Source organism: Homo sapiens, chromosome 1 (genome assembly GCF_000001405.40).
Source record: "Homo sapiens chromosome 1, GRCh38.p14 Primary Assembly".
NCBI classification, from domain to species: domain Eukaryota; kingdom Metazoa; phylum Chordata; class Mammalia; order Primates; family Hominidae; genus Homo; species Homo sapiens.
The window spans coordinates 46,516,226-46,537,890 of record NC_000001.11 but is presented as its reverse complement, the minus strand read 5'-3'; the positions used below and the strand labels follow the sequence as shown (position 1 = coordinate 46,537,890).

Below are 21,665 nucleotides of genomic sequence, written 5' to 3'. Positions count from 1 at the left end.
CTGGCACCACACTGCAATTGAGCGGTTTGGGATGAGTTTACTTAATCTTTTTCTGTCTCAGTTTCCTCATCTGTAAAATGGAGATGTAAAAGTAATACTTAATCTTATGTTGTAAAAATTAAATTGGATATTATTATAAGTGCTTAGCATAGCATAACTTAGTTGTAGATCTAATTGTGCTAATTTCAGATTATCATCTAGACTTCTGTTTCTGGCTAAAGTAGACTAGCTTCTATCAGACCAATTTACCTGCTGAGGATAACTTTAAAAGCTGGATTAAGCATTTAAGAAATCTGTTTAAAGGCATGGGAGAGCTACGAAGGCACTGAGGACTTGAGGGGGCCAAGATTGTGGAGAGAAGTAATACTAGATTTTGATTTTTCCCTAAAGGCATTTTCCAGTTTGTAGGAGGCAGTGGTCATGAGACTGGGGAGTCAAATTTGAATTTGGGGACTAAAAAGGGAACAGTTTTTATTGGGAAGACCAAAGAAACACTCTAGGAATAATGGCTAACCAGATATAGACTAGACTCAGGAAGACTGGAACAAAGTTTCCAATCAGTATAATCCTCGATTGGGTTAAAGTGGCCTGTCCTCCTTTAAGTGCCTGTCAGAAGCAAAAGTAAATCCCCTCTGGAGAAAGATGGCATCATTCAGAGCCTCATGCTAGCTCTGTAAGTTTTTATACACAATGTTGGACATTCAATAAAAAATTATCTGGCATTTCAGGAGATAAGACCAAATGAACAAAAGCAATAAAACAGACAAGAGCAATAAAACAGACAATAGAAACAAGCCCACTGGAGATCCAGATGTTGGAGTTTTCAGATATGGACTCTAGAAGGTTTAATATGTTCAAGAAAATTAACAACAAGGGAATCTTTCAATAGAAAACTGGAATCTATGAAAAAGAATCTAGTGGAAATTCCAGAACTGAAAAGTTATAACAAATGAAATCAATAACTCCGTTGATGGATTTAGCAGCAGAAAAGACACATGTGAAAATAGGATTAGTAAACTAGATAGTAGAAAAATATTTCAGTAGAAAAATATCCAGACTGAAACAGAAGGAAGGAAGGAAAAGCCTAGAAAATATAGAATAAAGTGTAAAAGAGACATGTGGGGCAATAGCAAATGGCTGAACATACAAGCAATGAAGGTCCCAGAAGGAGAGGAGAAAGAGAATGGGGAAAAGATAAGAGCTGACATGTTTCCTGAACTGTGGGGTGATATGATGCAGCCACAGATTGTAGAAGCACCAGGAAGGATACATACAAAGCAAATATCTACAAAGAAGGATAAATACAAAGAAAAACTCACTTAGGCACATCACAGTAAAACTGCTAAAACCTAAAGGCAAAGGAGAGTCTTCCCCGTATGGGAAAAGAAGCAAGATCTTGGCCGGGCGCAGTGGCTCACACCTGTAATCCCAGCACTTTGGGAGGCTGAGGCAGGTGGATCACGAGGCCAGGAGTTCGAGATCAGCCTGGCTAACATGGTGAAACCCCGTCTCTACTAAAAAAAAAAAAAATTATCTGGGCATGGTGTTGGGTGCCTGTAATCCCAGCTACTCAGTAGGCTGAGGCAAGAGAATCACTTGAACCCAGGAGTCGGAGGTTGCAGTAAGCTGAGACTGCGCCACTGCACTCCAGCCCAAGTGACAGTGCAAGACTCTATCTCAAAAAAAAAAAAAAAAAAAAAGGAGAGGCAAGATCCCTGGACTCTCCAGCCCGCAGGGCCTTCCTGACCCTCATCCAGTGTCAGCTTCCAGGAGGCTGATGTGAAGTGAGGTGAACCAGACTCCCTCCTCTCCATCGGGGCACCCTCATACTGAGCCCTCCCCACAGGAAGGGAACCCCTGCCTTTTTCAGATTATGTCAGATGTTGATGAATGAGGTTGGGGAGAGGCTTGAAAGGGGAAGATTTGGGAATCTCACAGCCCCTCCGAGGATCAAATCCTTCTCTTTAAAATTAAGCAAGATTGTGTGGGGTGTGAGCCAGCTCATCTGTTTTCTGACTCTGGTCTCAGAATGTCTATTCTTCCTTTTAGTCCAGCCACCAGAGCCCCAATCCACTTCCCTCTCTGAGCCTCAGTCTCCTCAGTTGCAAAATGTGGCTATTAAAAACATTTTTTTTAATTTTTTTTATTCATAAAAAAAAATAAATAGATGCAGGGTTTTGCCATGTTGCCCAGGCTGGTCACAAACTCCCAAGCTCAAGTGATCTGCCTGCCTCAGCCTCCCAAAGTGCTGGGATTACAGGTGTGAGCCACCAAGCCCAGCCAAAATATGGCTATTAATAGGCATCAAGCAGTAGTAGATTGTGATGTCATAGATGTAAAAGTGCTTTGCAAACTGTAAACTGCTGTACCCTTTTAGTGGTTGCTATCCCTGCCTGGCAGGACCATCAGCAGCAGGTTAGAGAGCAAATGTTCATGCAGATGAGGAGCTTCCTCAGGAATCTGTGGTCTGTAGATGCCCTCAAGGGTCAACATGTGCTTTCTTTGCTAAGATTTGGGGATTTCTGACTTCCTGCCAGCTTGGTACGGCAACAAGGTGATTCTGGCTAGAGTCTCAGTAGGGCTGCCACCTCTCAGCATGGTGCCAGGAGAGGGAGCCCTGGAGTCATCAGCTCTGGACAGGCCTGGAGGTGGCCTTTCAAGTCCTCTGACCTGCGCATCCTGTGTGTTGCAAGTGAAGGATCTGACACTAGCCTTCATTTTCACTCAGTCATCAAGCTTTCTCCATCTCCACTGGGTATAGGGTTTGGACACTCAGAAAGGTACCTCCACCTGGGAGACAGCCCAACTTTTCTGTTTCCAAAACCAACATGACCAACCTCCCAGATTTGAGACTTCATGACTCCCTTCTCTGTCAACCAGCACCACAAGGGCATGGTTAACATTTATTAAATACTCACTGTTCTAAGCGCTTTATTTAGCTTAAAGTATTTAATTATCACTGTACCCTATGAGGTGGGTTCTATGATTAGCCCCACATTACAGAAGAGAAGATGGAAGCAGGAGAGTCAGGCCCCCTGTGAAGGTCACACTCACTCACTGCTCCTCACCCTGCATGCTCCCCTCAGACCCGCGGTACCATCTGATTACTTCCCTTTCATCCCCATCCAGGACCCTTTTCTGGCATTTTTTCCCCACAATTCTAACACAGCTCACTAGCTAAGATCTCGTCCTTTGAGGGCCTTTGTACCAACTATGATCTTATGCGTTATAGAACAGAATTCTCAAATAGAAATCATAAATCCCTAGACTCTAATTTTATTACTCTTGTTTCTGCATGCATTTCCAGAATTCTAGAATCCAGTGATAGATCCCAGAACCAGAGACATCTAGAGAATCCTAGAAAGGAATTCTAGCATCCAGCAATTAGGCTTTTGAATCCAGGTTCAACAGTAAAACAATGGGGAGTGGAATGGAGGTAGGATTGGAATTTAATAGAATGCCCAGTCTAGAAAGGGCCCTGGTGCTTTAGATCTGCTCCAGCCCAAGCCAGCCGATGTGGGGACTGTGCCCTCTCACTGACCGTCTGAACCATCAGGAGCTCCTCACTCTCACGTGGCCACTCACTCCAGGGCCTCATCTGATGTTCAGGAGAGTCAGTGTCATTGCTATGCCTACCGGAGTCTAGGGTGGGGATACTGAGGCCAAGTGGCATGGTCATTTGGGTCCTGGTTCTGGATCTTGGATAAACTGCTAGACCTCTGGGAGCCTCGGTTTCTTCATCTGAATAAGGGGGTGGGGGTGGGGGGCAAGGTCAGATGATTTCCAAGGCCTCTTCCACTTGAGAGAGTGAGTTGCCTAAATCCCAAGAGCTGCCATTTGCCTTACTAGTTAGGACTACTGAAGACGATGATTATCATGTGATGAGCACCTAAGCTGAACTGGACACTGTGCTGAGCACTTTCCAGCCACTATCTCACTCAAATGAGTTCAGGTAGGCTTCCTGGAGGAGAGGGGTTGGAGGGGCAGCGTCTGTTTGGAGGACAAAAAAGTGAGGAGAGAGGGAGGATGGCAAGATTGGCCACGAGGGACCCCCGGAACTAGGTGGGGAAACAAGTCGATTCTTCACATATGGGATGGTTTGTTGCTTCCCAGAGGCAGAGGCAGGGGGCTGGCCAAGATGACCTCTGCCCACCCAGGCACTCAGTGTAGCTACAGACGGAGCCTAGGACTGGAGGTCAAGATACCCTGCTGACGCCGCCCTCTTGCTGTGTGCCCACAGGACCAGCGTGAGGAGGCTCCTGGCAGTTGCCCACAGGACCAGCGTGAGGAGGCTCCTGGCAGTTGGGCTGTTCCGGGCCGGCGGCAGGAGGGAGCTTGATGCGTGCCTGGCGTGCGCAGGCCGATGCCGCCGGCAGAAAAGAGCGAGGGGCCACCGGTCCCGGCGCCCGCGGAACGCGCCCGGGGCCGGGTGCCCGGCCTGCCGTCGCCGGCGCTGTGCTGCGCCTGCGGTCTGTGCGCGCTGCTGGCGGGCGTGAACGTGACGCTGGCAGGCGCCTTCGCCTCCTTCTTGCCCGAGCACAACGCGCTGCTCGTCGTGGGGCTGGCGCTGCTGGTGCTGGCGCTCGGCTTCTTCGCGGCCTGCTGCGTGTGTAGCCGCCGGGGCCTCGCGCCCCGTGGGCGCTCGGCGGCCGCGGCGGGCCCGGGCCAGGGTGGCGGCCGCGCCGGGCCCGTGGCGCTGGAGATGGAGAGCAGCGAGCCCACGGCACAGGACACCACGGCCGTGCAGCTCAGCCCTGCCGTCTCCGCCGCGTCCTCCGGCTGCTCCAGCCCCGGCCCCAGCCCCCTCGCCCTGGAGGCCCCGGCGCCCGCGGCCGTCTGCGCGCTGCGCTCGGAAGGAGTCCAGCTCAACCCACCCCGGGCGCGCGCCGCCCCCTAGCGGACCAGGGCCCCGCCGTGACTCCGCTGTCCGGGTTCATTCCCCTTCCTTCAGTGCCATTTAAGGGGGGAAAAGAAAGAAAAGAAAAAGAAAAAAGAAAACCTTTTCTTCCTTCCTTCCTTTCTTTTTTACAAGGGTCTGGTGCTGGGCTCAGGTGGCCTCATCTTTTCCATCTCCCAAACTCCTGGGTAGAATGTGGTGATGGTGTCAGGGGTCACACCCCAAAGAAGGGAGCAGCAGAGCCTTGGCCCCTTAGACAGGGTCTCTGGTCTCTAGTAAACCTTACCCATCCAGCTTGCTGAAAGTAGGCCCCTGGACCCTGGAACCCTGACACTGCCACCTCCCCCTGGCATTTGGGCACTGTGAACCAAGGAGCACCCACCCTGAAGGGGCTAACCACCAGCAGTCCCCCCAGTGAGGTGGGAGGAAGAGAGGGAGAAGGGTTGAATGTCAGCCTGGGCTGTCTCTGTCCTTGCACACACCGTGAAAGGCTTCCAGTCCCCTCTCCTGCCCCTCCCCACCTTCCTTGTTTCTACCCCAACATGACCTTTGGGATTCATTTGGCTGAGAAGCCGTGGCTCTGACTTGGGCCAGGATGGTCCCTAGAATTAGGGCCGGGGTGAGCACTCCCCACCCTTTCTGTCTGACTAAGAGCAAGAGTAGCTGAGACTGGGGCCCTGACAGAGGTGAGTGGTGAGGGAGCTTCTGCAGCCCTGAAAGTCCTAGTGTGACTTTCACTGCCAGCAATGCTGGCCCCCACCCACCCTGACTGTGGCACACCATGCATTCCTGCAGTGCCTTACTCCTCAATAAAGCACCTTTGGAGTCAGTCCTCTGTGACAGTGCAGGCCGGGAGGGAGGGGTGGCTGTGGGGCCTCTGGCTAAGCACCCTGGGTTCTGGGGCCCTCCCAGCCTGTGGCTGAGTGCCTGAGCATCCTGGTACCAGCCCCTCCTGGAGACCTAGAAGGCGGCTTCAAGGGAGAGGAGTGTGTGACTATGAGTAAAAGACTGTATCTAAGACTGTGTGCCCATGAATGTGGGAACAGATGGGTCAGATTGGGGGACTGGATGAACATAGGAGTGTGACTGTGGGTGTGATTGCCTGGCTCCTGTAAGAGGTGGGGAGTGGCAGCGTTTGGGTAACAGTCTGACATCACACATGCATGTGGAGGTGTGAGGGCAGCAGTAGTGGTTGAGGGCATGGTCACTGAGCAGGGTGAGGGGAGAAGTGCTCCACGGGGCTGTGCAAAGCCCAGACACTGCCCAAGCTAGCTGGACTTGCCGAGTTTGGGCCCGGCCTGTGGTTCGTCCAGGTGAGGGGGTAGGTGAGGGGGCCAAGTAGAGGAATAGGGGCTGCCTTGCAAAAAAGAAAAGGGGTCAGGGGACTGAGGAGGAGACACTGCAACTCTGGGCCAGCCCTTCGTCTCCATGCAGGTACCTAGGCAAGCAGTGACTGGGGCACATGCTGACCCACTGCCCCCGGCTGGCTATGACTCCCTGCCCATCCACTCCTGGCTTCATCACCAGCCTCCCTTTCTGTTTCCAAGACAGGCTTTGCTACTACTCTGCCATGACCCAGACACTTCCCACCAGCCCTGGGCTCTTCCTTCCTCTGGCGCCATCTCCACCTCTGTCTCTCCTGCTGTCTCCTCTCCCACTGACCTAGAGAAGAGCAAGTCTGCCTGAGCAGGTGCTGAGCAGGCCATCTCTATTAATTTGCACGTGTCAATGGGCCTTAACCTTTGAAGCTCCCAGTACCTACAGCTGATGACCTATTCTCTGAGCTCCCCAACCCCACCCTGTATGTGTGTAAGGAAGGCCACTTCCCCAGGCTCCAGTCCTGTCTCTTCTGGTGCATTGGTCTGCAGCTTTAGATGCCACCTGCTGCTGTGGTAGAGCAGTAGGTGAGAGGGGCCACCGCTGATGCAGCCTTGGGGTGTGGTCAGAACCACCCTTCTCCTACCACCTTAGGATTCTAGCCCTGCAATGCTAGGCTCAGCCGAACCCCTCTCCCACCTGCTGTTAGATGCCTGGAATTACATTCTCTTTCCTGTTCCCCCACAAGACTTCCAGATCCTGTTCTGCAAGCCTGGCTGCTGCAGAGGAAGAGTGAGCCTACGATAAAAACTCAGGGCAGTGGGACATGGATCAATGGTGTGGGTAGAATGGATCAGGGAAGGCGGGACATTGGCTCCCTGGAGTCCCTTCCACTTACACCCCCAGCTGAAGGTCATCATTTGTCTTTTCTCTGCCCCGCTTCCTCCACGGGCACACCAGAAGAGATTTTCCAGATCCAGTGCCCCAGGGCTCACCTTCCCAACAGCTCCAGTCTGCCACCGTGGGGACTCCTCACTTCACACCCCTTCCCTGGGTGACACCCAGGGACAGGCCCCTCTAGGGCAATATGGCCAGCGAGGCCCTAGGGAAGCCCCACTCTCCTACACATGGTGAGGCTGGAGGGTGTGCTCTGTCTCACACCTCTGCAGGCCCCTCCCAGGCAGGCTTCAGGCCCTGAAAGGGCCTCTGGGAGGCAGGTTTCTGTTGAGGAGAGGACATGATTCTGACAGCACAGAAGCATCAAGCTCCCTGACCTTGGGGAATTTGAGCAGGGACCAGTAGTTCCTGCAGGGATGCTGCAGACCGGCCCTGGAAGGAGGGTAAAACCTTCCACTCCCACCCTAGGCCCTGAAAGCCTCAGAATTGAGGCAGTAGGGCCTATCCTCAGAGGCACAGGGACTGTGGTAGAGGACACAGAGCTGGTCCTTCTAAAGGAGGGGTACTCCCCAGGGCCTGGGGGCGGGGGGGCTTTAGGGTGCTACACGTGGTGAGTGGCCCCTGCCTCCCCAAGGAAACTACTGCTGGCCCGGACAAGGCAGCTCATTAAGGGAAATGAGGTTTCCCCCATGCTTCTCCCTCTAGGAGAAATGAGGGCAGCCACTTAGAACCTCTTTGTATTATTATCTTGAGATAGGATCTCTCTCTGTTGCCGAGGCTGGTGTGCAGTGGCACAATCACAGCTCACTGCAGCCTCAACCTCCCAGGCTCAAGTGATCTTCCCACCTCAGCCTCCCAAGTAGCTGGGACTACCAGCACACCCCACCATGCCCGGCTAATTTTTTGTATTTTTTGTAGAGACAGGGTCTCACTATGTTGCCCAGGCTGATATTGAACCCCTGGGCTCAAGCAGTCCTCTCACCTGGGCCTCCCAAAGTGCTGGGATTATAAGTGTGAGCCACTGTGCCCAGCCTTAGAATCGTTTTTTTTTACTAATTAATTTAAGAATTCCTGAGCCCTGCTATGTTCCCTGCTATGAGGGAATATAATGATGAACAAGCTCTCAGGGAGCTCACATTCTATTTGGAGGAGACAGACAATAAAGAATTAAATAAGTGAGCAAATGAGACCAAAAAAGCTTAGCTAGTGAACAGCACTACACAGAAAATTACAATAGGATGTTGTGATAGATAGAGGCACTTGTCGGATGGTTGGGGGTTTTTCTCTGAAGAGGTGGCATTTAAGCTGGGCTCTGAATGGTGAGTCAGCCATGCAAAGGTCTAGAGCAGGAACATTTCAAGCTCAGGAAACAGCCAGTGCCAAGCCCTAAGGTGAGAATGAACTGGCCTCTGTGTGTCAGAACAAGAAAGAAAGGCTGTTGAGACACAGATGGAAGATGAAGCTGGAGAGGCGGGGAGGGGGTATTGCTTAGCTCATGGAGGGCTTAGTAAGCCCGGGTGAGGAGTTGGGATTTGATTCTTGGTGAGATGGGACCCACTGGAGGGTTTTAAGCAGGGAAGTGACATGATCTGATTTATGATGGTAAAGACTGCTCCACCTGCTGTGTGGAAGTAACAGAGTGGCGAGGGGCAAGAGGGAAAGCAAGGCTAGGAGGGGCAGGCTAGGAGGTCACAGCAGTGAGACATATGGGCACTGGGACTAGGGTGGTTGCTTGGAGTAGACAGATTCTGCACCTCTTGGGGGAGTTTTGGGGGCATGAAAGAGAAGAATCCTGAGGAAGTTCTAAAATTTTGGTTTGAGCACCAGGGTGTATGGTGGAGGATCTGGATTTGGGAAAAAAGGGACATCCTGGTAAGGCAAAAGACCTGTTAGCCCAGAGGGACTGTCCCACAGAAACTGGAGCCACAGCTCTGAGTTCTGGAAGAGGAGGCGCTGGGATGGAGACGTAGAAGCTGTCGGCATGTGGGTGGTGGTGAAACTCCAAGGAGACAGGAAGACAGAGAACCCGGAAGATAGAATAGTCTAACTGCAGACTCCAGGGGGAGCAGGGAGCCCATGCTGCTGACTTCTGAATCCCACTCAGCCTTCTGTGATGCCAGGAGCCTTCTGATGAGAACTGTGGACTAGGAGTGGGGGATTAGGGAGAAGTGGAATGTGAGCACGAAGAGGCCAGATTCTGACTTGTTCACAGCTGTACCTTCGGTGCCCACCTGGCACAAGGTAGGTGCTCAATAAGCACCTGTGGACTGAAGGAGGAAGGAAAAGGTGTGGATCTCATCGCACAGCTGAGATTCCAGGTCCCGAGTAATACGGGTTTGTCAAGATGCCTAACTCTGGGCAGGAAGGGAGAAGATTTCATATGTCTGAGAGTTCCCCTAACCAATTGCACAGTTTTCTATTTCTCTGTGGGGAGGTGGGATGGCACGGGAAGGAAGGGTTGACTAGATCAGCGCCAAAGGACCAGCCTGAGGGCCAGGCTCCCCAAAGCAGGAGATGGCCAGATGGAGGGACCAAGCCTGAGGAAATCGGCACTGTTGGGGACTGCCACCAGAGGGCACCCCGGGCACATGGCAGGAGATAGACACCACTCAGCCCAACCAGACTGCACAATTTTGCCTTTTCCTCTTCTGAGGTCCAAGGCCCTAAGAAATGGGGGAAGAGGGGGAGTTAGGTCACTCAGATTTACTAAGTGACTCATCCAACCCTGGAACCTGACCTTATTACAGAGAGAGCCTGGATCCTGGACAGAAACTTAGCCTTTATCAAGGTCACAGATAAGTCCTGAGACTGCTTATAGACTAAACCCTGACCTTGATGTTAGACTGAAACCTCACCCCAGTCCATACTGTGTCCTGACCTTAATCATAGACTGAACTTGACCCTAGTCACACTCTGAGCTCTGACCCTGCCTGTCCATTCATCAAACACTGACCTTGATCCCAGACTGAGCTCTGACCCCAGTCCATAAACTAAACCCTGACAATTACCATATAGTGAACCTGACTTGCATGCAGACTGATCATGGACACACATTAGCCCTTATTCAGGCCATAGACTGAGCCCTGACCCTGGGAACAGATAGCGCTGACCCTGGTCCATACACTGAACTCTCACTCTGATCACTGAGCCTGACCCTGAATCTGGTGCCAACCTGAACTCTGACCCTGATCCATATGCATTGAATCCTGACCCTGGACAACAACTGAGCTTTTATCATGGTCACAAACTGGCCTTGATCCCTAAGACTTGCCTTCCAACACCCCAATGAGTTAAGGACCTTCCAGAAGAGGCTCTTGTGTCAGGCCAAGCTTTAGTCTCAGAAGGAAGTAATTCCTGGAAACACTTTTGTTGGGGAGAGAAGGAATTCTGGGTCTCCAAATGGTCCAGAAACTCCTCGGCCTTGGACCCCTAAGAGGCCAGGCAGAGAAAGGCTGGTTCTAGGTTGCCCAGGACATGAGGGAAGAAGGGCAGCTGGGTACCTTCTCAAGGTATCCCCACAGCCGTGGGGGCGGGGCCTCTTCTGCCTGCCTGTCCATCTGGGGAGCCTCCCGACTGGCAGCCTCTTCATCTGCACTTCGGACTCCCTTCTGCTCCACGGTCTGTGCTCCACCCCTTGCTAGCTTTCCAGGAAAATAAGGAGGGACATTCCATGCAAGGGGTGGAACCAGGCCAGACTGAAGGCCCCATGCCCCCAACCTGTGCCCTGGCCGGAAGAGAAGCCCCTCCCTCTGGGAGCTCACTTTGGCTGCTTGCTCCAAACAGGCGAGAAAAGGTGAATCAGGCTCAAGGCGGCTCCAGCAGGGCCTCAGGTTGACAGCGGCCAAGACATAGGAGCATGAGGCAGTTGTGTGGGAAGTCCCCGAGGCCCGAGTATGTTCCTGGAGTCTGCAGCTTGTGAAGGTGTGGTAGGTGAGGGCAAAGGACAGCATAGTCCCTCCCCAGGGCACACTGACCAACTTAATTTCTGCCATCCCCAGGGTTCAGCCTGGGTGCCCTCCCGCTGCAGGGCCCACTGGCCTCCAGGCTCACCTAGGGAGGCACCAAGGGCGGGGGTGGGGGCCGAGCCAGGGAGGAGCTGGGGCGGAGGATGGGGGCAGCTCGAGTCAAAAAACGCTGACGCCAAAGACAATGAGCTCTCCGAGGCTGAGGCAACTCATTTGGTCCCGGCCACGCTTTATTAAATTCTCATAAACCTGTCAGGGGGGACAGGGCTCGCTTCAGTTTACCTCATTAGCCCGACACAATGACAGTGGTGGGGGGACAGGCAGGGTGGGGGTGCAACAAGGGGAGGCTGGCGCTCAGAGCTGAGAACTGAGCCAGCCGGGAAGATAATTGAATTAAGTGGCTTTTGTTAATGGTTTTTAAGACTCCAAAGTGTAAATAACATTTAGGGGCTTTCTTTTAATGGAGCTAGGGTTTTAGAGACCCAGGGAGCTTAGGGGAGGCCCAGCCTGGTCCCTGCCTTCTCCCCCACCCTAGGGGAGCTCCCGAGGGGAGAACTTGCCGGAGCCGCCCCAGGGATGCATTGCAGTTAGCCTTGGGAGGACCAAGGGGACTTCCCCAAGGGAAGGGGACAACATCATTGGAGCCAAAGAAGCTGAGACAACTTCCTGGTGAATCTTTGAAAAGAATCAGTGTACATGAGCAAAAGAGGGGATGGATGCAGGGGACTGTGACGACCTACCCAGTCCTGGAATGCTGCTGTCGGACAAAGTGGCCAGGGACGTCTCTGAGATGTTGCTGGAAGTATGGTCCTGGCCTCCTGGGGTCAATGTTCATTCCCCATGAGAGGTTAGTGGGAATGGAAGGTACTGGCTGTGTTGCCAGCAGGTAGTGAGCTCCCCATCACAGCGGATGTGGGAAGGCTGTGAGTTGGGGTATCCCCAAACGAGGCAGTGGATTAGACTAGATCCCAGGCTTGCTGAAGGCAACTGGACTTGATCCAAGCTGTAACAGGAACCTGAAAAGATGGCATGGTGAGCTCACTTCTCTGGGGGCACAAGGGCCTCGGGGAGCTGGGTGCCAGGGAACAGGGACACAGACAGGAGTTGAGAATCCAGCCCCTGGCTTTCCTCAGTCAACAGCTTCTCCCTCCCTGCACCCTGCAGACAAGACCAGGTTGGGGAGTTGGCTGGATTGAAGGCAAAGGGCTCTGGGCTAAGATCCCAAGGGGCTGGAGGTGAGATGGGGCAGGGCTGGCCCTGGGCCAGCCCACAAAGGGTTAAGGTGCTAATCGCCATGCATGCGACAAAGGGAAGTGGGTTTTCTGATCCAGAAAGGATCAGTCCCTGGGACGCCCCATCAGGCCCTTCAGCGTGAAATTACACCCCAGCGGGGGTGCTACCCTCCCCCTACACACACATTACCCGCCGGGCCTGGCACAGGATTAGGGCCCAGAGTCATCAGCGTAATAGATCGCACCTCCCCACCCCATTCCTTCCCCCAGGAGCCTTCAGTCCTGCCTCCGGGCCTGGGCCAGCCTCTTTCCTCACATCTGTCCACCTGGCAGTTGCACTGCCTGGTCATCTTGGCCTCACTCTTGGTCTAGTCATTCCATCTGTCTCCTCCAGCCATGCATTGAGCCCCCACCTCACTCCTGGTCACAGTGTCTTCATAACCTTTAATCGGCCTGCCAAAGGTACATTCCATTGCTTATGTATTTGTTGTCTGTCTTCCCCCTCGCACATCAGGTGCTGTCCTGCTCAGCACTGTATTCCCAGTGATGGGGGGGGGGGGGCTGCATCTTCCACGCAGGTGGTGCTCAGTCAACTAATGTTGACTTCCCATCCACCTCACAGAGACTGGGACATGGTCCCTAAACTCTGGATGTTGATGCCGAGAACTAGGAGACTGTGCCAGGACAGAGCCATGTCCTCTGGAAGAGACAGGAGGCTGTGGCATGGCCGCTGCCTTGGACCTAGCCTCATCTCTTAAAGATGGCATGAGGGAGGCAGGCAGGAAAAGTGAGAAGGCCTGCAAGGACAGAGGGTCCACCTGTCCTTGGGTGCTGTCCCAGGAGATCCGCTCACTCCACTGCCCCAGGCTGCTGTGCCTTTGCCCTCTGATGACCTCTAAGCCCCATCTGCACCCCCAGCCAGGAGGACCCAGCATGGGAAGAAGCTCTGAATGGAACAATTGAGGACACAGGATGATATCACATGGAAGACAAAACCCAGCAAGACTCTTGGAAACCAAGGCTGCCTGAGAAAGGCACCTGTATGGACCACCCTGACCAACCTCTACACAGGAGACAGAGGCCCAGAAAAAGCCAGGGCTTGCCCAAGTGTACTGCAAAGCCATGGCAGGGCCCAGACAGAAGCCTGGTTCCCTGAGGTCCTCAGCAGAGCTTGTCCCTCACATGCTCTTCCCAGTTAATTTAACAAGTTCAGTACTGGTTGAACACAAACTCCATACCAGGCTGTATGCCATGCCAGCTTCTGCCCAGGGAGCCCCATCTGGCAGTGGTTGAGAACTGTATATAGTGGTCAGAGGCATCAAGAGGAGGAGGGGCATCTCCCTCCCCTGTGATAATCTGGCAAGTCTTCCTGGAGCAGGTGGCATGTGGCTGGGCTCTGAAGAGTGAAGCCTGTCCCCAGGAGGAGGGACCGGCAGAGCAGAGGTATCCGGGGAGAGGGCACGGTGAGTGTGTGAGGTGCCACGCCAGCTGGGTGACACACTCCACAACAGCATGAATAGACATGTTCTGTGTGGCTCCCAGGCCAAGCCAGGCCTGATAAGGAGGCTACTGGGTGGCAGATTTCAGACAACATGAAGAAGAACTTTCCAACAGCCCTGGCGTAGGCTGCCCTGGAAGGTAGTGAGCTGCCCACCCCTTCAGGCTTGTGGATAGGAGCTGGGTATCAGTGATTCCTCCCCGGATGGAAGCCGAACTAGAGACCGGTGAGAATGTCTATTCTGAGAAACTGAAGCAGAAATGGCCAGACTTCAACAGGCCTGGCTCTTTAGTAGGCGACCTCTCCCCCACACCTTGTCCATCCTCCTGGGCTCTGCAGGCCCCTGGTGGCTGGAGTGTGGGAGAGGGAGGTAACAAGGCAGACAGAAGAATGACTGCTTTTTCAGTTATTCTTCTATGTATCTATGGCTTCCACCCAACCCAGCAGGGTGGGGCGCTTAAATCAGGCTCAGAAGTTGTCCAAAGCCCCACTTAAAAAAAAAATAGGGACAGAGGGCTGGGCATGGTGGCTCACACCTGTAATCCCAGCACTTTGGGAGACCAAGGCTGGCGGATCACTTGAGCTCAAGAGTTCAAGGCCAGCCTGGGCAACATGGTGAAACCCCACCTCTGTCAAAAAATACAAAAATTAGCTGGGCATGGTGATGTGTACCTGTAGTCCCAGCTGCTTGGGAGGCTGAAGTGGAAGGATGGCTTGAGCCCAGGAAGGTGAGGCTGCAGTGAGCTGTGATCATACCACTGCATTTCAGCCTGGGTGACAGAGTGAGACCCTGTCTTTAAAAAAATGAATAGGGACTGAGGCCCAGAGAAGGGCTTTTCCAATAGCCCACAGTCCAAGAGGCAGGCTGGGGCTTGCAGGCTGCGCGGTCCTTTCTAGGCAGCTTACCGAGGGCAGACTGAAGGTAAACCTGAAGGAGGTGAACCTTTCAGACGTCTCGCGGGCCCTGCCTCCACAGGGGCTGTGCATGCTAAGGAGACAGCGAGGGGCGGGCCGATGAGCACCTGCCTTTACCTCCCCTTAATCTCCCGTGTCGTCAAGTTTCCGCCTCAGCCCCCTGTCGTGAAGCTTCTGCCTCAGGTACCCTGGATTCTTCCTGAAGCACTGGGGCTCCTGTGTTCTGGAGTTCTCTTCAGGAGAATCCTAAGGTAAAAAAGAATGTGTTCCCTCCCTCCTGGCTGCCCAGCACATGCTGTGCAGAGGCCAGGAGATGGGCAGGGTGACCTGGGAAGGACCCAGGCCTGCGGGTCTATCGTCCCGCTTAGATGAGACCAACAACAAAGAGCAGCTTGTACACACACTCACACCCACGTGCACCCACACACGCCCACACAGGCTCTTTCCAAGAACAGCTCTTCAAGCCTGGCTGCCAAGATAAAGGAGCCACGGGGCGGTCAACCCCAGGAGGAAATATCGCTTCTGCAACTTTTGTTGTTCAGAGGTCTTTGTGAAATCTCCAGACTCTTCTTGGAAAGGATCCCAGGCTGAGGTGGCAGTTTCCCGCAGCGGGAGACATGGGTGAGGGCCACGCAGCCTCCCCGGCCTGGAAGGAGCTGGGGGAGGAGAGCCCCAGGGGGCCGGGCTTGGAGTCATTAGTGGTGGCAACAGAAGCTTAATCCTTCACTTCCATTATTACCGCACTCAACTCCCACAAGCCTGGGGGTAGACAGAGACCTCCCCATTTTACAGATGATGAAACAGAGGTTCCCAGAAGCCTAGCAGCTTATTAAATAGTCCACAGTGAGTCAGTGCTAGAAATGAAACTGTGACTGACTTGGCACCAGTCACAGACTGAGCCGGCCCTGCCCCAAACTGAGTCCTGCCATGGCCCATTCTGAGCTCCAACTCTGACCTCTAATCGAGCTGTGTCTTGCCCTAGATTGATCCTGAATCTAGCCTCAGATTGCCCCTCCTGTTAGCCGTAAGCCCTTCGAGGTCAGAGACGTGTGCACTTCTCATTCACCCCTGCTCCTTTACGTGGATATATGTGTGATTATTTGAGTAATCTCCATTTTATCCATTAGACTATATATAGGGCCAGGAACTGAGTCTACTTTTGTTTAGTGGCACTTATCATAATGTAATAAGTGCAATAATAACAAGCAAGTATTGGCCGGGCGTCGTGGCTCATGCCTGTAATCCCAGCACTTTGGGAGGCCAAGGTGGGTGGATCACTTGAGCTCAGGAGCTAGAGACCAGCTTGGGCATAACAGTGAGACCTCATCTCAAATAATAAAAGTAAAAACAAATTTAAAAAAAAAAAACAAGCAAGTATTGAGCATTTACTAAATGCCAAAATTGTGCTAAGTGTTTTACAGATGTTATCTTTTATTCCTAACAAAGAACCCTGAAGTAGGCATTATCATTCGCCCCACTTTACCAAGGAGAATACTGAGCCCCAAGGTGACACTAGGAGGAGGTGTGTATAGGATGCTCTTGGTAGTTCCCTCCACCCCTCACACTCAGTTGCCTGATGAGGAATGGGGTGGAGAAGGAAACCGTGGCTGGAAGAGGAAGTGGTGGCCCTTGGGCAGGTGGGAGAAGCAGAGGGCTTTCTGGAGGCCTTGGGTTTCTGAAGCCACAGAAGGGCCAGTGACTTAGCTGAAAGAGATGGGGTGGGCTGGGCACTGTGGCTTACACCTGTAATCCCTGCACTTGGGGAGGCTGAGGCAGGCGGATCACCTGAGGTCAGGAGTTCGAGACCAGCCTGGCCAACATAGTGAAACCCCCTGTCTCTACTAAAAATACAAAAAAATTAGCCAGGTGTGGTGGCAGGCGCCTGTAATCCCAGCTGCTTGGGAGGCTGAGGCAGGAGAATTGCTTGAACCTAGGAGGCAGAGGTTGCAGTGAGCTAAGATCACACCATTTCATTCCAGCCTGGGCAACAAATGCAAAACTCTGTCTCAAATAAATACATAAATAAATAGAAATGGGGTGGGAGTGAGACCAGCTATATATTTTATGGGGTCCAGGGCAAAATGAAAATGCAGGGCCCCTTGCTTAAAATGTAAAGATTTCAAGATGGTGACATCAGAACATTGCGGGCCCTCTGAGCCCAGGGCCCTGTGTGACTGCATGGGTCACACGCCCATGAGGCTGCTGCAGGAGGGAGCATGCTGTGAAGAGGTGGGCTCAAGGCAGCCCCTTGGGGTGGATGTGTGGGTTGGTGCACATGGGTGTTCACATGGCAGCTGGGACCAGTGTCTGACTCTTATGTGGGCATTTGGGTGGCATCTTCCACAATCACAGGGCAGCCGCCACCAAGTCTCTGTGGGCACCAGGCCAGCAGTTTGGCTCGAGAGGCTGTCTGTACAGGGGAGCTGGTGCCACTGAGCATTCAGGGGCTGTCTGGAGTGTGAGCAAGCCGGGAAGAATGCATGTCTGGGGGTGGAGCGGGTGTGTGGAGCATCAGGCGACAGAGCGTGGCTGTGTGTCTGCCGGTTTGCAGTGGGGCTGTGTACACAGGCATGAGAGACAGGGAGACAGACACCCTGGGATTGTGTGGTCCAGTGCAGAAGTCAACATGTCCCAGGGGTGTGAGAGGATGCGTGTGTGCGTGTGTGCTGTGAATGTATGGGGAATGTGTGTGAGAGGCTGTCAGTGTGTGGGGGCGTGTATGCCTATTCCCACGTGCCTTCCTGGGTGCTGGCCCTTGCTGTCTTCCTTATTGTGAGGCCTCCCAGGTGAAGACCTCTCCAGCCTGCCTCAGCCCAGCCCCCAGGCCTTTGTGGGACCAGGTCCCCTCTCAGAGCGACATTCCTGCCTGCCGTGGGGTGGGCAGCCCCACAGAGCTGCCTCCTAGGCTGCTGGGGTGATCCCTGGCCAGTGGTGTCAGGTTCCCAGTGCTGAGCCCTCCCTCTGCAACCCTCTGAGGGCCTTTGTTGGAAGTTCAGACACACTTGTCAGGGGGGCGGGTAGAAGGCCACCTCCTAATCGGCTTTCCCAGAAGCTAAAGGAGAATGAGTGATGGGGGTGGAGGGCTCCAGCCCAGAGCAGCTCTGTGGGAAAGAGATGAGGGAAGTGCCCAGCCCTAAAGGGGTCCATTCCCCAGACCCTCTCAGCAGGGGCCCCTTCCCTGAGGGCCCCTAAGGAACCAGACCCCTGAGCTGCAAGAACATTGGCCAAGGCCTAAGAGAAGGGGGAACTACCGGGCGCCATGGCTCAGCCAGGCGGTGGCTCACGCCTGTAATCCCAGCACTTTGGGAAGCAAAGGCAGGTGGATCACCTGAGGTCAAGAGTCTGAGACCAGCCTGGCCAACATGGTGAAACCCGTCTCTACTAAAAATACAAAAAATTAGCCAGGAGTGGTGGTCAGCGCCTGTAGTCCCAGCAACTGGGGAGGCTGAGGCAGGAGAATCCCTTGAACCCGGGAGGTGGAGGTTGCAGTGAGCCAAGACCGCACCATTGCACTCCAGCCTGGGCAACAAGAGCAAAACTCCATCTCAAAAAAAAGAAAGAGAGAACATGGGGAATTTGGAGAGAAGCTTCGGGGAGCCCCCTACCTTTCCCATTTCCCCCACCATGGGCTATCTGAGCACCAACGGCATGCTGGGCCTAGAACTGCTCAGCTTCTCAGCCTCCCCAGTGCCTTCTCCTTTTTACCTCCTCTGAGTCACCCAGGAAGCAGGCTGGACCTGGTTAAAGATTCCTATTCAACAGAATAGGAAACTGCAGACCAGAGAGGGATAGTTATTTGCCCTCAGTAAACAGCAAGCCAGGCTTAGCTCATCCTGGCTCCACCAGTAGCTTCTTCTTCTCTTTGTGGTCAGCGTTTCCCTGAGGTCCCATCCTCTGCTTCTCTCTCTGTAATCTCATTTAGCAACGTGGCTTCATTCACCATCTCCCTGTGACAACCATCAAGGCTAAGAGCATGGATTCTGAGGCCAGCCAGGTTCATCCCTTGGTTGGCCCATGACTAGCTATGTGGCCCCTCAGCAAGTTATTTAACCACTCTGTACCTCAGTTTTCCCATCTGTAAATGAGGATAGTAATAGTACCTACCTCATAGAGTTGTGTAAGGATTAAGTGACTTCTTTTATTTATTATTATTATTATTAATTATTTTTTGAGACAGAGTCTCACTCTGTTGCCCAGGCTGGAGTGCAGTGCTGCAATCTCAGCTCACTGCAATCTCTGCCTCCCGGGTTCAAGCAATTCTTCTGCCTCAGCCTCCTGAGTAGCTGTGAATACAGGTGCCTACCACCACGCCCGGCTAACTTTTGTATTTTTAGTAGAGTCAGGGTTTCACCCTATTGGCCAGGCTGGTCTTGAACTCCTGACCTCATGATATGCCCGCCTCGGCCTCCCAAAGTGCTGGGATTACAGGAGTGGGCCACCATGCCCAGCCAAGTGGCTTCTTACGTGTAAGGTGCCAGGCACAGAGAAAGTCTGTGTCAGCAGCAGAGACAGACCCTACATCTTCCCTTGAATAAATAGAAGTCTCCTCAAATGCAGCAAACAAGACTACCCTGAGCTCAGGATCATTTTCGGACACTCACTCCACTCCAACAGAGTAGGGGTCTCCATCTACCCTATTGCCTGGCCAGAGACTTGAAAGTACCCTTGACCCTCCCCATCCTGCTTAAAATCACCACAACAATTTTCCTTCCGAAATCTCTCATCAATCAGACCCCTGCTCTGCACTCCCTCCCCCAGTCCAGATGGATGCCACCCTCCTCTCACCAGGACGTGACAGATACTGGCCTCCTCTCTGATCTCCTGCCCCCACCTCCTTCTCATGAGCCACCATGCAGCGAAAGTGGGGGTTACTAAAATACGCATAGATCACCCCACTCCCTCACTGGGAATAGCTTCCAGTGCCTCCCACACCCTTGGCCCTTGGGCTTCAGTCCAAGGTCCTTGTTTCCCTCCTCATCCTCACTGGCTGGCACCACCCCCACCATCCTCAAGCCCCACCCAGACAAGTCCCTTGTTCTTTCAGGGCTCAGGGCTTTGGCAAGCTGGCTCAATCCTGCAGCTTTCTATGAGCTATGCCTCTCCCAGGGCACCCTTCTCTTTGACTTCCTGGTGAACACTGGACCCATGAGACTCAGGTCAAAAGTCTCCCTCCCAAGGGGCCTTTCTGATCTCCCTAGACTGAGCTAGGGGTCCTCTTCTGTGCTCCCACAGGTATCCTTTTTTTTGTTTGTTTTTTGTTTTTTGTTTTGAGACAGAGGCTCGCTCTGTCGCCCAGGCTGGAGTGCAGTAGTGCCGTGGCTCATTGCAACCTCCGCCTCCCAGGTTCAAGCAGTTCTTGTGCCTCAGCCTCCCGAGTAGCTGAATAGCTGGGATTACAGGCACACGCCACCACACCTGGCTAATATTTGTTATTTTTAGTAAAGACAGGGTTTTGCCATGTTGGCCAGGCTGGTCTCGAACTCCTGACCTCAGGTGATCTGCCCACCTTGGCCTCCCAAAATGCTGGGATTACAGGCGTGAGCCACTGTGCCCATCCCAAGGTCTCCATTTTTTGAACACCATATCACCCTGTGTTGTAGTGTTTTCCTTACTTGTTTCTATGTAGCCAGCTCCCAGCACAGGCATAGGCATACAGCAGGTGCTCTGTGTATGCTGAGTGCATGAGTGATTTGAACTGCAGTGTTACCAGGGTACCCTTTATGCCAGGGAAGGTGTGTCCCTTGGGGCTGAAGTACGTAGGAGGCAGTCAATGGCTCAGGCCAGGGGAGGGAGCAGTGGGAGATTTGAGGCAGATATTTGATCTCTCAGCCCCTCCCAGGGAGGCAGGGGACAAGGTGAAAGGGAGACGCTCCCCGCCCTAATCCTCAGCCCGCTGGGGAGAGAGGAATGCGTCTCCTGGGGTGGACCTGGGAAGTGGGGAGGTCAGGGCCCGCCCCTGGGAAGCCTAGCAGACAGCTGCCTGCATACATTCAGGTCTGCTGGGTTCTCCTACCAGGAAATCCGCAGACAGAGGAGACTGTCACCTCCCCTAAACCTCAGCCAGGTGCATGCACCACCTCTTCTGGCTCTTGGCCCTGCGCCGGCACTCTGGAGCACCGGGGAAGAAGGTGGAGCCAAAGCAGCCAGGACTGAGCAGAGATCTCTTGTCTTCTTTTTCTTGAAATGCAGCTGGAGGGACCAGGGTTTCACAGCAAGAACTTCCTGGCTGTGCATTTTTTCTGCACTTATTGCCTATATGTACGGTCTTGCCGTCTATCTCGCGCTGTCTCTCCTGCTCATCGTGAATGTGCTCGTACACACACAGATGCAAGCAGACACTTAGGAATTCATAGCACAGGTTCTCAGACCTGCAGATAGACTTATAACAACACAGACACACCCCAGCGCACCATGGCAGAAAGCCCTCCTTCATCCTCTGCTTGCTCACCTCTGAGGACAGAGCTCACAGCCTCTGAAGGCTTCCCTTTCCACTGGAAAATAGCTCTGGCTGTAGATCCAAATGTCTCTTCTTACCACTCCCCTTTGGCCCTGGCTTACTTGCAGTTTTCCACAGAGTCCCCTGCCTCTCTCTGTCCTGCAGACCCATCCGTCTCCCAAGCTACACTGAATACTCCCAGGCATTGCTTGTCTCAGGCGTCCCATGTCCCAGGCTACTCTGCCACTTGTGTTTGGGTGAGGTCCAAACAGCCTAGAGAAGATGGAACTGTCTCCCATTATCTGCTCCCCTGCAGCCACTCCAGAGTGGCATCCCGGCTGCAGATTAGTAAGGGCCACAGAGAGAGCTACACAGTCAGTGTGACAATGGCCAATAGTGCAGTAGGTCCGCCTCCCTCCCCACTGGCCATGGCATCAGAGGGGCAGTGAACAGACCTGGAGACACTGCCTGCTCAGGCCACTGCGGGCATCTCTGGGAATGAACATGG

At 53.3% G+C, this 21,665-nt stretch overlaps 1 protein-coding gene across 2 annotated transcripts, besides 10 other annotated features; it reads left to right on the top strand.

The window, feature by feature from the left end:
- Nucleotides 1,753-1,849: a transcriptional cis regulatory region, noted in NCBI's record as "candidate enhancer chr1.5857 targeted for multiplex CRISPR interference". NCBI's record gives its function as "positively regulates RAD54L gene expression with high confidence in K562 cells {active_cell/tissue: K562}" and the evidence as "EXISTENCE:mutant phenotype evidence [ECO:0000015][PMID:30612741]".
- TMEM275 (transmembrane protein 275) lies at nucleotides 2,376-5,725 on the top strand. 2 transcript variants are annotated; one of them, NM_001396071.1, is made up of 4 exons: nucleotides 2,376-2,780; nucleotides 3,308-3,436; nucleotides 3,850-3,952; nucleotides 4,241-5,725. In NM_001396071.1, the coding sequence occupies exon 4, from the start codon at nucleotides 4,364-4,366 to the stop codon at nucleotides 4,895-4,897; it is 534 nt and encodes a 177-aa protein (NP_001383000.1). In that variant the 5' UTR covers nucleotides 2,376-2,780; nucleotides 3,308-3,436; nucleotides 3,850-3,952; nucleotides 4,241-4,363; the 3' UTR covers nucleotides 4,898-5,725. The 2 variants fall into 2 exon arrangements, with proteins under 2 accessions (NP_001383000.1, NP_001343992.1); NM_001357063.3 differs by lacking the exon at nucleotides 3,308-3,436 and having other exon boundaries at nucleotides 2,376-2,415.
- Nucleotides 4,492-4,581: a silencer, noted in NCBI's record as "silent region_847". NCBI's record gives its function as "represses an Ori minimal core promoter by ATAC-STARR-seq in GM12878 lymphoblastoid cells {active_cell/tissue: GM12878}" and the evidence as "EXISTENCE:reporter gene assay evidence [ECO:0000049][PMID:35858748]".
- Nucleotides 4,712-4,911: a silencer, noted in NCBI's record as "silent region_846". NCBI's record gives its function as "represses an Ori minimal core promoter by ATAC-STARR-seq in GM12878 lymphoblastoid cells {active_cell/tissue: GM12878}" and the evidence as "EXISTENCE:reporter gene assay evidence [ECO:0000049][PMID:35858748]".
- Nucleotides 11,868-12,817: an enhancer, noted in NCBI's record as "NANOG-H3K4me1 hESC enhancer chr1:46990746-46991695 (GRCh37/hg19 assembly coordinates)". NCBI's record gives its function as "activates a minimal SCP1, AML or CMV promoter by ChIP-STARR-seq in naive H9 embryonic stem cells {active_cell/tissue: H9 hESC(naive)}" and the evidence as "EXISTENCE:reporter gene assay evidence [ECO:0000049][PMID:30033119]".
- Nucleotides 12,818-13,768: an enhancer, noted in NCBI's record as "H3K4me1 hESC enhancer chr1:46989795-46990745 (GRCh37/hg19 assembly coordinates)". NCBI's record gives its function as "activates a minimal SCP1, AML or CMV promoter by ChIP-STARR-seq in naive H9 embryonic stem cells {active_cell/tissue: H9 hESC(naive)}" and the evidence as "EXISTENCE:reporter gene assay evidence [ECO:0000049][PMID:30033119]".
- Nucleotides 13,769-14,719: an enhancer, noted in NCBI's record as "H3K4me1 hESC enhancer chr1:46988844-46989794 (GRCh37/hg19 assembly coordinates)". NCBI's record gives its function as "activates a minimal SCP1, AML or CMV promoter by ChIP-STARR-seq in naive H9 embryonic stem cells {active_cell/tissue: H9 hESC(naive)}" and the evidence as "EXISTENCE:reporter gene assay evidence [ECO:0000049][PMID:30033119]".
- Nucleotides 13,769-15,715: a biological region, named in NCBI's record as "H3K4me1 hESC enhancers GRCh37_chr1:46987892-46988843 and GRCh37_chr1:46988844-46989794". NCBI's record gives its function as "regulatory_interactions: DMBX1".
- Nucleotides 14,643-15,715: a transcriptional cis regulatory region, noted in NCBI's record as "candidate enhancer chr1.5850 targeted for multiplex CRISPR interference". NCBI's record gives its function as "positively regulates DMBX1 gene expression with high confidence in K562 cells {active_cell/tissue: K562}" and the evidence as "EXISTENCE:mutant phenotype evidence [ECO:0000015][PMID:30612741]".
- Nucleotides 14,720-15,671: an enhancer, noted in NCBI's record as "H3K4me1 hESC enhancer chr1:46987892-46988843 (GRCh37/hg19 assembly coordinates)". NCBI's record gives its function as "activates a minimal SCP1, AML or CMV promoter by ChIP-STARR-seq in naive H9 embryonic stem cells {active_cell/tissue: H9 hESC(naive)}" and the evidence as "EXISTENCE:reporter gene assay evidence [ECO:0000049][PMID:30033119]".
- Nucleotides 20,103-20,954: an enhancer, noted in NCBI's record as "H3K4me1 hESC enhancer chr1:46982609-46983460 (GRCh37/hg19 assembly coordinates)". NCBI's record gives its function as "activates a minimal SCP1, AML or CMV promoter by ChIP-STARR-seq in primed H9 embryonic stem cells {active_cell/tissue: H9 hESC(primed)}" and the evidence as "EXISTENCE:reporter gene assay evidence [ECO:0000049][PMID:30033119]".

Excerpts from the sequence above, each read along its gene's own strand:
- TMEM275 (NM_001357063.3), top strand. The coding sequence starts at position 4,364 with ATGCCGCCGGCAGAAAAGAGCGAGGGGCCACCGGTCCCGGCGCCCGCG.